This window comes from Homo sapiens, chromosome 8, assembly GCF_000001405.40.
Source record: "Homo sapiens chromosome 8, GRCh38.p14 Primary Assembly".
Classification (NCBI taxonomy): Eukaryota; Metazoa; Chordata; class Mammalia; order Primates; family Hominidae; genus Homo; species Homo sapiens.
Window position 1 is genome coordinate 68,735,142 of NC_000008.11, and position 16,249 is coordinate 68,751,390.

The 16,249-nt window shown below is 37.6% G+C and overlaps 1 protein-coding gene across 9 annotated transcripts in view, besides 1 other annotated feature; it reads left to right on the forward strand.

Moving 5' to 3' along the window:
• The window catches only part of C8orf34 (chromosome 8 open reading frame 34), a 488,651-nt gene that overhangs the window by 404,769 nt on the left and 67,633 nt on the right, over positions 1–16,249 (forward strand). The window lies entirely within an intron of this gene.
• Positions 8,555–9,113: an enhancer, noted in NCBI's record as "NANOG-H3K4me1 hESC enhancer chr8:69655931-69656489 (GRCh37/hg19 assembly coordinates)". NCBI's record gives its function as "activates a minimal SCP1, AML or CMV promoter by ChIP-STARR-seq in primed H9 embryonic stem cells {active_cell/tissue: H9 hESC(primed)}" and the evidence as "EXISTENCE:reporter gene assay evidence [ECO:0000049][PMID:30033119]".

A 16,249-nucleotide genomic window follows, 5' to 3' on the forward strand; every position in this document is an offset into this window, starting at 1 on the left:
CCCTGGTGGCCCATCTTGGGGCACTAATGGGATTCAAATAATCACTTTCCCACTAGTTTCTGGAGGCCAGGGAGTATGTACCTGGACTTCAGGGAGCAGTTTCAATGGTATCTGTCTTATACACAAGATTTATTTGTAAGGTTTGCTTTGAACATAAGAATTGCCCTGCTGTAAACAAACTTTGAAATTACCCATTCAAACTGTTCTGAAATTTCAATGTTTATCCTATTTTCTTATGGAGCATTAACGATAACACGTAGCTGCATCATGTGAATGTTTTGTCTTTTCTAGTAAGCATTTTTGGGGCTTGATGATTTAGAGAATTATAAAAGTATTTTCTTTGCAAAGACATTTATATTGGAGATGTTGAGTGCCTTTAAGGGCCTAAAAATCATGTTTGCTTTGGTCAAGTAACAAAACATTTACTTATGTTAAATAATGTCATTAAACTTTTTCAAGACTCATAAAATTGATAGAGGAGGCCACAGTTATAACTTTTTATACTTTAAATGATTTGCAAGTGTGTCTAACTTGAGAAAGAAAAGAAAAAAACATAAATCCAATGTCATTAATACGTAAAAATAGTCAGAAATTTATCAGAAACTGTTTCATACTCAGGAGTGAACCCTAGCCAATTCTATCACTTATTCTTTTAATGAACATTAAATCTTAACTATATTTGTCCTGACCCAAATTTGTAAAACACCAAATTTCCTCTTTCCCTCTTTTTGTGAAACTGCCCAATTTAAATTCTGTCTTTGAAGGCTGATTCTAAAGAATGTAGTTCGTTTGTGACTTTAGGTTCAACAACACCCCAGTAACATTTCAGAAAGCCTCCTTATTCCACTGTTGACTGGTTTCCTGCTAGACAACAGAAAGCTGATGTTCTACATTTCTTAGACCAATGGCTTTTTCATACAGCTGTTGACATAAAAGGAAAGCAAAGAAAATAAATCATCTTTTGTATATTACAAGTTAAAGCATAACATCCTCATTTTATCTGTGGTTTTAAGCCTTTGCTCAGCCATGATGTGCAAATGTCAAATGGTCGACTTTTGATGTGTTTTCATACTGTCAGTAAAATAGACTGTAGCAAGGCAAACTGTCCAGGTCTGTGGCTGGTTTTCAAAAATCAATAACTAACATTTGTAAGTGCATTGCTAAAATGCTTTTTATTATTTCAACAAACCTAGAAGTTAGTATTATTATCATCTCCATTTTAAAGATGTGAAATGAAGCACAGAGAGAATGGTACCCCCAATCATATAGAACTAGAATTCCTTTAGGTTTATTCTGAATGTCCTTCAGAATTTTAGCAAATAGGTGGCAGTGTAGCTTGCAAAATCTTCAATCAAATTACTTTACCCTTGTTTGATATGAGTTCAGAGAGTTCCATGATGTAGATTCTGTGATTATTAACACTAGAATATATTTATAATAAATCAATATAATACAATAAAATGAAACATAATTTTTATCGTAACAAGTCATGTTCATCTCAGGATATTCAGTACCTAGCCCAGTGTCAAGAAGAAGAGATACTCAATAAATGCTTGGTAGATTGAACTGAAGGAGGAAAAATCATCCTGAGAACTTTTAGGTGTCCTTTTATTCATTGGCCACTTTTTCCAAATGGTTAGTGTCATAAGTAGAATATAATGGTATACTTCAAACGTCACATTATAGTTCTTTTAACTGCACTTAAAGAGGGAGGTCCTGTGTCTTAGGTACCTCCCATGAGTCCAATTATTAGGCTGAGGTTATTGGGTAATGTGGATCTGAGTAATTTTCATTTTTTGACCTTTAATCTCTTTAGAAATTTAAGTTTTTATCTAACTAAATAACAGTAGCTCCAAATTAAATGTTTGAGTATGCTGTAATATTATTATCATCATTGTGGCCATAGTGTCAGTACAACTATAAGTAATAGGATTTAGTTTAACTCAGGATGGCTTTGGAAACTATAAGGTCTTAGTATCTCCAAGGCATGGCTAAAACATGCTTCTAGAACAGGGTTGGAAAGCTCTGCCTAAGGCAGTATGCCCTTAAAACTCTTAGTTTAAATTCTTATTTGAAGGAAAATAAATTGCTCCATATCTTCAACTTCTTTGTCCATTGCTGCTTCCATTTTCTGTCCTTAATAGAAACCTTTTTCCCAGGCATTTATCACTTGTTCTTTTATGCAAATATTCATTACTTTTTCATGCCACAGTTATGAGAGGCAGTATTGTTTATCATAGCTCTCCACTGCAACTTCCTGATCATTCATTTTCATCTCTAAATAAAAATCCTTTGGTAACAGGCTAAATGCCTCAATTAAAAGGCACAGAATGGTCAGCTGAATAAAGAACCAAGGCCCATTGGTATGCTGTCTTGAAGAGACCCATCTCATATGCAATGCCACCCATACACTCAAAATAAAGGCATGGAGAAAAATCTACCAAACAAATGGAAAACAGAAAAAAGCAGGGGTAGCAACCTTACTTTCAGACGAAACAAACTTTAAATCAACAAAGATTAAAAAAAAAGACAAAGAAAGGCATTACATAATGGTAAAGAGTTCAATTCAAGAAGACTGAAATATCCTATATATACATGCACCTAACATAGGAGCAGCCACATTCATAAAGCAAGTTCTGAGAGACCTTCAAAGCAACTTAGACTTCCACACAATAATAGTGGGATACCTCAACATTGCACTGACAGTTGTAAATAGATCATCAAAGCAGAAAATTAACAAAGATATTTAGGACCTGAACTCACTCAGCACTGGATCAAATGGACCTGAGAGACGCTTACAATACTCTCCATCCCAAAACAACAGAATATACATTCTTCTTATTGCCACATGGCACATACTTTAACATTGATCACATAATCAGAAATAAAACACTGCTCAGCAAATGCAAAAGAGCAGCAATCATAAAAACCAGTTTCTTGGTTTTTATATGGTCCAGTTTCTCGGACCATAGCACAACAAATTTAGAAATCCAAACTAAGAAATTCAATCAAAACAGTACAATTACTTGGAAATTGAATAACCTGCTCCAGAATGACTTTTGGGTAAATAATGAAATTAAGGCAGAAATCAAGAAGTTTTTGGAAACTAATGAGAACAAAGATAAAATGTTCCAGAATTTCTGGGACACAGCTAAGGCAGTGTTAAGAGGGAAATCATACCACTAAATGCCCACATTGAAAAGTTAGAAAGATCTCAATTTAGCAATCTAACCTTGCAAATAGAACAACTAGAGAACCAAGAGAAAACCAACCCCAAAGCTAGCAGAAGACAAGAAATAACAAAAATCAGAGGAAGGAAACACAGGCATGAAAAACCATTCAAAAGATCAGTGAATTCAGGAGTTGGTTTTTTGAAAAAATTAATAAATTACATAGATGGCTAGCTAGACTAATGAAGAAAAGAGACCCAAACAAACACAATCAGAAACAACAAAGGGGATGTTATCACTCACCCCACAGAAATACAAATAACCATCAGATAATAATATAAGCACATCTATGCAGATAAGCTAGAAAATCTAGAGGAAATGGATAAATTCCTGTATACATACATCCTCCCAAGAATAAACCAAGAAGAAATTGAATCTCTGTATAGACCAATAACAAGCTCTGATATTGAATCAGTAATAAATAACCTACCAACCAAAAAAAGGCCAGGATCAGATGGATTCACAGCTGAATTCTACCAGATGTACAAAGAAAATCTCATACCATTCCTGGTGAAAGTATTCTAAAAAATTAATGAGGAGGGGCTCCTCCCTAACATTCTATGAGGCCAGCATCATCCTCATAGCAAAACCTTGCAGAGACACAACAAAAAAAGAAAGCAAAAAAAGAAAACATTAGGCCAATATTCTTAATGAATGTTGATGCAAAAATCCTCAACAAAATACTGGCAAACTGAAACCAGCAGCACATCAAAAAGCTTACCACAATCAAGTGGGCTTTATCCCTGGGACGCATGGTTGGTTCAACATATGCAAATCAATAAATGTGGTTCATCACATAAACAGAACTAAACAAGAAACTACATGATTATCTCAATAGATACAGAAAAGGCTTTCAATAAAATTCAACACCCCTTTATGTTAAAAACTCTCAATAACCTAGGTTTGGAAGTAACATACCTCAAAATAATAAAAGCCATATCTGACAAACCCACAGCCAACGTCATACCAAACGGATAAAAGCTGGAAGAGCTCCTTCAGCTGAGAAACAATTTCAGCAAAGTCTCAGGATACAAAATCAATGTACAAAAGTCAGTAGCACTCCTAAACCAAAAAAAGTCAAGGCAAGAGCCCAATCAGCAACAAAATCCCATTCACAGTTGCCACAAAAAAAAATAAAATACCTAAGAATACAGCTAACTAGGGAGGTGAAAGATCTTTACAATGAGAATTACAAAACACTGCTCAAAGAAATCAGAGATGACACAAACAAATGAAACAACACCCCAAGCTCATAGATAGGAAGAATCAGTGTCATTAAAATAGCTCTACTGCCCAAAGCAATTTGTAGATTCAATGCTGTTCCTATTAAACAACCAATGACATTATTCACAGAACTAGAAAATAATACTTTAAAATCCACATGGAACCAAGAAAGAGCCCAAATACCCAAGGCAATCCTAAGAAACAAACAAACAAACGAACAAAAACCCCACAAAGCTGGAGGCATCATGCTACCTGACTTCAAACTATACTATAGGGCTACAGTAACCAAAACAGCATGGTACTGGTACAAAAACAGACACATAGACCAGAATAGAGAGCCCAGAAATAAAGCTGCACACCTACAACTATCTGATCTTCAACAAAGCTGACAAAAACAAACAATGGGGAAAAGACTTCCTATTCAGTAAATGATGCTGGGATAACTGGATAGCCATATGCGGAAGATTGAAACTGGATCCTTTCCTTATACCATCTGCAAAAATTAACTCAAGATGAATTAAAGACTTAAATGTGACACTCAAAATTATAAAAATTCTGGAAGACAACCTAGGCAATACCATTCTCGACACAGAAACCAGCAAAAATTTCACGATAAAGATGCCAAAAGCAATTGCAACAAAAGCAAAAATTGATAAATGGGATCTAATTAAAGTAAAGAGCTTCTGCATAGCAAAAGAAACTATCAGCAAACAGACAACTTACAGAATGGGAGAAAGTTTTTTGCATACTATGTATCTGACAAAGGTCTAATATTCAGCATCTATAGGGAACTTAAACAAATTTACAAGAAAAAAAACCATTATAAAGTGGGCATGAACAGACACTTTTCAAAAGAAGACCTACATGCAGCCAATAAGCATACGAAAAAAAAGCTCAATATGACTGATCATTAGAGAAATGCAAATCAAAATCACAATGAGATACCATCTCACACCAGTCAGAATGGCTATGATTAAAAAGTCAAAAATTAACAGATACTGGTGGGGTTGCAGAGAAAAAGGAATGCTTATATGCTGTTGGTGGGAGTGTAAATTAGTTCAACTACTGTGGAAAACAGCATGTCAGTTACTCAAAGACCTAGAAACAGAAATATCATTTGACCCAGCAATCCCATTACTGGGTATATTCTCAATGGAATATAAATTGTTCTGTCATAAAAACACATATGTTCATTGCAGCAATATTTACAATAGCAAAGACATGGAATCAACCTAAATGCCCACCAACGGTAGACTGGATAAAGCAAATGTGGTACATATACACTATGGAATACTATGCAGTCCTAAAGAAGAATGAGATCATGTCCTTTGTGCAAACATGGATGGAGCTGGAGGCTATTATCCTTAGCATACTAATACAGGAACAGAAAGCCAAATATTGTGTGTTCTCACTTATAAATGGGAGCTAAATGATGAGAAGACATGGACACATAGAGGGGGAACAACACTCACTGGGACCTATCAGAGGGTGAAGGGAGGGAGGGGGGAGAGGATCAGTAAAAATGGGTACTGGGCTGAATAGCTGGATGACGAAATAACGTGTTCGACAAACCCCTGTGACACAAGTTTACTTATATAACAAACCTGCACATGTACCCCTGAACTTAAAATAAAAGTTAAATAAAAAAATTCTTCCGACATTCATATTACCTTATATAATTTTTTTCCAATAAAAATAAACAATTTTATTTCATTTTAAATTGTTTAAATTGTTTATATTTTTGTGGGTACATTGGTGGATATATTTATGGGATACATAAGATGTTTTCATATGGGTGTGCACTGCATCTTAATACCATCAGGGTAAATGGGGTATTCATAACCTCAAGCACTTATTCTTCATGTTACAAATAATTCAATTATACTCTTTTAGTTATTTTTAAATGTACAGTTAAATTATTTGACTGTAGTCACCCTGTTGTGCTAGCAAATACTAGGTCTTATTCTTTTGAACTATATTTTTGAACCCATTAAATTATCTTCAGTTCCCTCCACCCCACCCCATACTAACTTTCCTAGCCTCTGGCAACCATCCTTCAACTCTTTTATCTCCATGGGTTCAGTTGTTTTAATTTTTAGCTCCCACAAATAAGTGAGAACATGCCAAGTTTGTCTTTTGGTGCCTGGCTTATTTTACTCAACATTATCTCCTCCAGATCCATCCATGTTGTTGTAAATGACTGGATCTCATTCTTTTGTATAGATGAATAGTACTCCATTGTTTATATGTACCACGTTTTCTTTATCCATTCATCTGTTGATTGACATTTAGGTTTATAGAATTTCAATTTAGCACTCACACTCCTCAGTCACTGAGAATTTTGACATGACATAACCAATCTATCCAACATTCTATCCAACATTCTATCTCCAAAGTTTTTCTACCATACCTTCCACCCAATACTTCATGCCTGTGGCCATACCTGTAACCTTATCATAACCTAGTTTTATTCTTCTTCTGGACTTGAACTCCAGCGTGTCAGTGGTAATACCCTCCTTTTCATTTTCTAACTCCATCAGTCCCACTCTTCCTCTTCTTTGATTTCCCTAAGAACTCCAGGCCCTAAGCCATTGCCTCCTTATGGCTGCCTTATCCGGCCAGTCCCTGAACAGTGCATTTCATCAATGACTCTCCATTTAGCCTTCCTTTGCTGCTAATGTCCAGTTTTAATCTGCCCTCAATATGTATCTTATTCTCCCTACCAATTATTCCAAACCTGATCCTAGCCTCCTACTTCTCAAGAAAAAATAAAACTATCAAGCAAGTAAAACCAAACAAACAAAACTTGGGTCCCTCAGGTGTAAAGTCCTTTAACATCCATAAGCCTGTATTCATCTGTGTAAGCAGCCCCTCTCATTTGTTTTCATCCAGTCTCAGAAGAGGTTTAAATTATCGTGTTCCAGGTTGGCTCTTGATAGAATCCTTTCTCCCCATTTCTAAAAATGTACTTCTTTGTCTTTTGCTGTATTTTTAACACTTCTCTTTCGACTTTCCTGCAGGCTATGGACATTCTCAAGCATTTTTCAATGGCAAACAAATGTACAAATGATTTCATTTTCCACCTTTAGCTACTATTGCCCTTACCTGTCTTCTGCCCTTTCACCAACATCTTAGAAAAGAAAGACACAGCTTCTTTCTCACTAATGAGTTAATTCATTGCAAAAGTGAAAATATATTTCTACATATCAAAATCCAGTGAACTCCTTACAGCCTTCATTTTATTTCATCCTTCTGTGGAAATTGATAAGGTTAATTACCACTTTTTCTTCCTGAAGTTCCTGCTTCTTTTGTCTTCTTAGACCCCATTCCCTTCTGATCATCTGGCTTCCTGACCATCCATCTTAGTCTTCTTTGCTAGACATCTTCCTGTCTTCCCCTGAAATTTTGACGTTAACCAATACTTCTGGTCCCTATTTTATTCTCATCTTGCACACTCTCTCTGACTAATTCCATTCACAGCCATGATTTCTATTGAATTTAAGTCCAGCTCTCCTATTATTAGGAGGAATAATCTGGTGGTGACTTGAGGTAGTTAAATTTGAGTGGAGAACAATTCGAAAGATGACAAGGACACCTGTTAGAAACCTGTTTTTCTTGAGTATGATGATGAATTTATGGACTTAGAGTAGCAATGGATAAGAAGGAGGAATAGCATGTTTTTTTATTTTTCATTTTCTCCTATGTAATTGCTTTTACAACTTTGTTGAGGCATAATTTAGGTATTATAAGATTTACAAGGGAGGAGCCAAGATGGCCGAATAGGAACAGCTCTGGTCTACAGCTCCCAGCATGAGCGACGCAGAAGACGGGTGATTTCTGCATTTCCATCTGAGGTACCAGGTTCATCTCACTAGGGAATGCCAGACAGTGGGTGCAGGTCAGTGGGTGGGTGCAGGTCAGTGGGTGCGCACACCGTGCGCAAGCCGAACCAGGGCGAGGCATTGCCTCACTCGGGAAGCGCAAGGGGTCAGGGAGTTCCCTTTCCTAGTCAAAGAAAGGGGTGACAGATGGCACCTGAAAAATTGTGTCACTCCCACCCGAATACTGCGCTTTCCCGACGGGCTTAAAAAATGGCACACCAGGAGATTAAAACCCGCACCTGGCTCGGAGGGTCCTACGCCCACGGAGTCTCGCTGATTGCTAGCACAGCAGTCTGAGATCAAACTGCAAGGCGGCAGCAAGGCTGGGGGAGGGGCGCCCACCATTGCCCAGGCTTGCTTAGGTAAACAAAGCAGCCCCGGAGCTGGAACTGAGTGGAGCCCACCACAGCTCAAGGAGGCCTGCCTGCCTCTGTAGGCTCCACCTCTGGGGGCAGGGCACAGACAAACAAAAAGACAGCAGTAACCTCTGCAGACTTAAATGTCCCTGTCTGACAGCTTTGAAGAGAGCAGTGGTTCTCCCAGCATGCAGCTGGAGATCTGAGAACGGGCAGACTGCCTCCTCAAGTGGGTCCCTGACCCCTGACCCCCAAGCAGCCTAACTGGGAGGTACCACCCAGCAGGGGCAGACTGACACCTCACACGGCTGGGTACTCCAACAGACCTTCAGCTGAGGGTCCTGTCTGTTAGAAGGAAAACTAACAAACAGAAAGGACATCCACACCAAAAACCCATCTGTACATCACCATCATCAAAGACCAAAAGTAGATAAAACCACAAAGATGGGGAAAAAACAGAGCAGAAAAACTGGAAACTCTAAAAAGCAGAGCACCTCTCCTCCTCCAAAGGAATGCAGTTTCTCACCAGCAACGGAACAAAGCTGGACGGAGAATGACTTTGACGAGCTGAGAGAAGAAGGCTTCAGATGATCAAATTACTCTGAGCTATGGGAGGACATTCAAACCAAAGGCAAAGAAGTTGAAAACTTTGAAAAAAATTTAGAAGAATGTATAACTAGAATAACCAATACAGAGAAGTGCTTAAAGGAGCTGATGGAGCTGAAAACCAAGGCTCGAGAACTACGTGAAGAATGCAGAAGCCTCAGGAGCCGATGCGATCAACTGGAAGAAAGAGTATCAGCGATGGAAGATGAAATGAATGAAATGAAGTGAGAAGGGAAGTTTAGAGAAAAAAGAATAAAAAGAAACGAGCAAAGCCTCCAAGAAATATGGGACTATGTGAAAAGACCAAATCTATGTCTGATTGGTGTACCTGAAAGTGACGGGGAGAATGGAATCAAGTTGGAAAACACTCTGCACGATATTATCCAGGAGAACTTCCCCAATCTAGCAAGGCAGGCCAACATTCAGATTCAGGAAATACTGAGAACTCCACAAAGATACTCCTCGAGAAGAGCAACTCCAAGACACATAATTGTCAGATTCACCAAAGTTGAAATGAAGGAAAAAATGTTAAGGGCAGCCAGAGAGAAAGGTCGGGTTACCCTGAAAGGGAAGCCCATCAGACTAACAGCGGATCTCTCGGCAGAAACCCTACAAGCCAGAAGAGAGTGGGGGCCAATATTCAACATTCTTAAAGAAAAGAATTTTCAACCCAGAATTTCATATCCAGCCAAACTAAGCTTCATAAGTGAAGGAGAAATAAAATCTTTTCCAGACAAGCAAATGCTGAAAGATTTTGTCACCACCAGGCCTGCCCTACAAGAGCTCCTGAAGGAAGCGCTAAACATGGAAAGGAACAACTGGTGCCAGCCGCTGCAAACTCATGCCAAAATGTAAAGACCATCGAGACTAGGAAGAAACTGCATCAACTAATGAGCAAAATAACCAGCTAACATCATAATGACAGGATCAAATTCACATATAATAATATTACCTTTAAATGTAAATGGACTAAATGCTCCAATTAAAAGACACACACTGGCAAATTGGATAAAGAGTCAAGACCCATCAGTGTGCTGTATTCAGGAAACCCATCTCACGTGCAGAGACACACATAGGCTCAAAATAAAAGAATGGAGGAAGGTCTACCAAGCAAAAGGAAAACAAAAAAAGGCAGGGGTTGCAATCCTAGTCTCTGATAAAACAGACTTTAAACCAACAAAGATCAAAAGAGACAAAGAAGGCCATTACATAATGGTAAAGGGATCAATTCAACAAGAAGAGCTAACTATCCTAAATATATATGCACCCAATACAGGAGCACCCAGATTCATAAAGCAAGTTCTGAGTGACCTACAAAGAGACTTAGACTCCCACACATTAATAATGGGAGACTTTAACACCCCACTATCAACATTAGACAGATCAACGAGACAGAAAGTCAACAAGGATACCCAGGAATTGAACTCAGGTCTGCACCAAGTGGACCTAATAGGCATCTACAGAACTCTCCACCCCAGATCAACAGAATATACATTTTTTTCAGCACCACACCACACCTATTCCAAAATTGACCACATACTTGGAAGTAAAGCTCTTCTCAGCAAATGTAAAAGAACAGAAATTATAACAAACTATCTCTCAGACCACAGTGCAATCAAACTAGAACTCAGGATTAAGAATCTCACTCAAAACCACTCAATTACATGGAAGCTGAACAACCTGCTCCTGAATGACTACTGGGTACATAACGAAATGAAGGCAGAAATAAAGATGTTCTTTGAAACCAATGAGAACAAACACACAACATACCAGAATCTCTCGGACACATTCAAAGCAGTGTGTAGAGGGAAATTTATAGCACTAAATGCCCACAAGAGAAAGCAGGAAAGATCCAAAATTGACACCCTAACATCACAATTAAAAGAACTAGAAAAGCAGAGCAAACACATTCAAAAGCTAGCAGAAGACAAGAAATAACTAAAATCAGAGCAGAACTGAAGGAAATAGAGACACAAAAAACCCTTCAAAAAATTAATGAATCCAGGAGCTGGTTTTTTGAAAGGATCAACAAAATTGATAGACCGCTAGCAAGCTAATAAAGAAAAAAAGAGAGAAGAATCAAATAGATGCAATAAAAAATGATAAAGGGGATATCACCACCGATCCCACAGAAATACAAACTACTATCAGAGAATACTACAAACACCTCTACGCAAATAAACTAGAAAATCTAGAAGAAATGGATAAATTCCTCGACACATACACCCTCCCAAGACTAAACCAGGAAGAAGTTGAATCTCTGAATAGACCAATAACAGGATCTGAAATTGTGGCAATAATCAATAGCTTACCAACCAAAAAGAGTCCAGGACCAGATGGATTCACAGCTGAATTCTACCAGAGGTACAAGGAGGAACTGGTACCATTCCTTCTGAAACTATTCCAATCAACAGAAAAAGAGGGAATCCTCCCTAACTCATTTTATGAGGCCAGCATCATCCTGATACCAAAGCCGGACAGAGACACAACCAAAAAAGAGAATTTTAGACCAATATCCTTGATGAACATTGATGCAAAAATCCTCAATAAAATACTGGCAAACCGAATCCAGCAGCACATCAAAAAGCTTATCCACCATGATCAAGTGGGCTTCATCCCTGGGATGCAAGGCTGGTTCAATATACACAAATCAATAAATGTAATCCAGCATGTAAACAGAACCAAAGACAAAAACCACATGATTATCTCAATAGATGCAGAAAAGGCCTTTGACAAAATTCAACAACACTTCATGCTAAAAACTCTCAATAAATTAGGTATTGATGGGACGTATTTCAAAATAATAAGAGCTATCTATGACAAATCCACAGCCAATATCATACTGAATGGGCAAAAACTGGAAGCATTCCCTTTGAAAACTGGCACAAGACAGGGATGCCCTCTCTCACCACTCCTATTCAACATAGTGTTGGAAGTTCTGGCCAGGGCAATTAGGCAGGAGAAGGAAATAAAGGGTATTCAAATAGGAAAAGAGGAAGTCAAATTGTCCCTGTTTGTAGACGACATGATTGTATATCTAGAAAACCCCATTGTCTCAGCCCAAAATCTCCTTAAGCTGATAAGCAACTTCAGCAAAGTCTCAGGATACAAAATCAATGTACAAAAATCACAAGCATTCTTATACACCAATAACAGACAAACAGAGAACCAAATTATGAGGGAACTCCCATTCACAATTGCTTCAAAGAGAATAAAATACCTAGGAATCCAACTTTCAAGGGATGTGAAGGACCTCTTCAAGGAGAACTGCAAACCACTGCTCAAGGAAATAAAAGAGGATACAAACAAATGGAAGAACATTCCATGCTCATGGGTAGGAAGAATCAATATCGTGAAAATGGCCATACTGCCCAAGGTAATTTATAGATTCAATGCCATCCCCATCAAGCTACCAATGACTTTCTTCACAGAATTGGAAAAAACTACTTTAATGTTCATATGGAATCAAAAAAGAGCCCGCATCGCCAAGTCAATCCTAAGCCAAAAGAACAAAGCTGGAGACATCACACTACCTGACTTCAAACTATACTACAAGGCTACAGTAACCAAAACAGCATGGTACTGGTACCAAAACAGAGATATAGATCAATGGAACACAACAGAGCCCTCAGAAATAACACCGCATATCTACAACTATCTGATCTTTGACAAACCTGAGAAAAACAAGCAATGGGGAAAGGATTCCCTATTTAATAAATGGTGCTGGGAAAACTGGCTAGCCATATGTAGAAAGCTGAAACTGGATCCCTTCCTTAAACCTTATACAAAAATCAATTCAAGATGGATTAAAGATTTAAACATTAGACCTAAAACCATAAAAACCCTAGAAGAAAACCTAGGCATCACCATTCAGGACATAGGCACGGGCAAGGACTTCATGTCTAAAACACCAAAAGCAATGGCAACAAAAGCCAAAATTGACAAATGGGATCTAATTAAACTAAAGAGCTTCTGCACAGCAAAAGAAACTACCATCAGAGTGAACAGGCAACCTACAAAATGGGAGAAAATTTTTGCAACCTACTCATCTGACAAAGGGCTAATATCCAGAATCTACAATGAACTCAAATAAATTTACAAGAAAAAAACAAACAACCCCATCAAGAAGTAGGCGAAGGACATGAAGAGGCACTTCACAAAAGAAGACATTTATGCAGCCAAAAAACACATGAAAAAATGCTCACCATCACTGGCCATCAGAGAAATGCAAATCAAAACCACAATGAGATACCATCTCACACCAGTTAGAATGGCAATCATTAAAAAGTCAGGAAACAACAGGTGCTGGAGAGAATGTGGAGAAATAGGAACACTTCTACACTGTTGGTGGGACTGTAAACTAGTTAAACCATTGTGGAAGTCAGTGTGGCAATTCCTCAGGGATCTAGAACTAGAAATACCATTTGACCCAGCCATCCCATTACTGGGTATACACCCAAAGGACTGTAAATCATGCTGCTATAACGACACATGCACACGTATGTTTATTGCGGCATTATTCACAATAGCAAAGACTTGGAACCAACCCAAATGTCCAACAATGATAGACTGGATTAAGAAAATGTGGCACATATACACCATGGAATACTATGCAGCCATAAAAAATGATGAGTTCACGTCCTTTGTAGGGACATGGATGAAATTGGAAATCATCATTCTCAGTAAACTATCGCAAGAACAAAAAACCAAACACCGCATATTCTCACTCATAGGTGGGAATTGAACAATGAGAACACATGGACACAGGAAGGGGAACATCACACTCTGGGGACTGTTGTGGGGTGGGGGGAGCGGGGAGGGATTGCATTGGGAGATATACCTAATGCGAGATGACGAGTTAGAGGGTGCAGTGCACCAGCATGGCACATGTATACATATGTAACTAACGTGCACATTGTGTACATGTACCCTAAAACTTAAAATATAATAATAAAAAAAAGACAGAAAGAAACACAGAACAGAAAGGACAAATAGAAAGCACAAAATAAAAGCAAATAATAAAATAAAATAAAATTTACCCATTTTAAGTATATAATAAACATTTTTAAATTTCTGAGTTGTGAAACCATCATCATAATGCAGTTTGAAGACACTGTCATCACCCCAGCAAGATTCCTCATGCCTATTTATAGTTAATAATATCCATGTCTGCTCTTAGACCCAGGAAGCCACTGATATACTTTCTGTTCCTATACATTTGCCTATTCTAGAAATTTCATATAAATGGAATAATACTGTATATGTTATTTTAGGTCTGGCCTCTTTCACTTAAATAATGTTTTTGTGGTTCATCCATGTTGCAGCCATGTTGCAGTATGACCATGTTACATAGGAAAAAGTAGTTTATTGCTTTTTATTGATGAATACTAGTACTCCCTGTTTGGATTCACTACATTTTGTACGTCTGTTCATGAGTTGGTGGACATTTGGATTGTTTTTAATACTGGGCTAGTATTAATAGTGTGGCTATAAAGATTTTTATGCAAATCTTTCTGTGGACATGTTTTTGTTTCTCATGAGAGATTCCTAGGAGTGGAATTGCTGGGTCATATGACAGATTTATATTTAACTTAACATTTCTAGTTTGCAATTCTTAAGGGAACAAAATTAATGTTGTGAAACATAGAATTACCAAATAGTCTACCAAGTCCACTCCTAGGAATATATCCAAACAAATTGAAAACAGGTATTTGAGGAAAAACCTTTACAAAACTGTTCATAGCAACACTATTCATAATAAACAAGAGCTGTAAATAACCCAACATACATGAACTAATGAATGGATAAACTATATGAGAGAACGTTATTCAGTCATAAGAAATAGAGTTCTATTGCATGCTGCAACATGGAAGAACATTGAAAACATTACACTAAGTAAAAGAGGCCAGACATAAAAGCTTACATATTCTATGATTTCATTTACATGAAATATCCAGAATTGGCTAATTCACGGAGACAGAAAGTAGATTAGGGTTTTCTAGGGGCCAGGGAGGAAAGAAAAAAGGGAAGTGAGTATTTAATGGATTTGAGGTTTTCTTTTGGGGTGATGAAAAATTTCTATAGTTAGATAGTTGTGATGGTTGCACAGCATTGTGAATGTACCTAATGCCATTCAATCTTAACTTTAAAATATAAAACGGTAAATGTTATGTTACGTGCATTTTACCATAATAAAAAAAGCTGTGTGTGATCCGCAAACAGAAAGTCTAAAATCCACATGAATAGAGATTAATTTGCTTTGGTACACTGCTTTTGGAGAATCAGAATGCTTAGGGAAATGATGCTTTCTTAGAATCAATTAGTCATCCTCATAGTTCCTGAATTCAGTGTCTACCATGTCCATGCATTGTTCTAGGAGCTTTACAGACATTATTTCTAATTTTTATAGTACTCCAACTAGGCAGGTGTTGTTAATTCCATTTTTAAGACTAGGAAACACAAGCTCTAAAAGATTAACACATTCATAGTCACAGAGCTCATAAATGCTGAAACCGGGAGTTAAGAGATATTCTCTTTTACTCTAAAGCCTGTGGATTTTACACTGTATTTTGTTGTTCCAAAATTGTTTGAGCGTATTCTAGCTGGAAGGCACCGTGCACAAAAGAATAGCAAAACAAAGCATTATTATCAAAGAAGGCAGAAGGACCTGGAGAGGGACTCTATTATTGAATATCTCAGAGTTTTAGGAAATTCACGTTGTGTTTAACGCTAGTGGACCCCTGGGTAAACTGGAACAATGACCATAATGAATCCCATATTGTAACATGACAGTTCTTAGCTCAATATATGCTTACTATAAGCTGATTTCAAATATTTTGGCTTACTGCCAGGAAGAACGCAGAGCTTGTAATTTCAATTACATGGTATTTCAAGTAGAACCTTGTCTTAATATTGAAGGGTGGCATTAGAGTTGACTGCCAGGACAGCAACA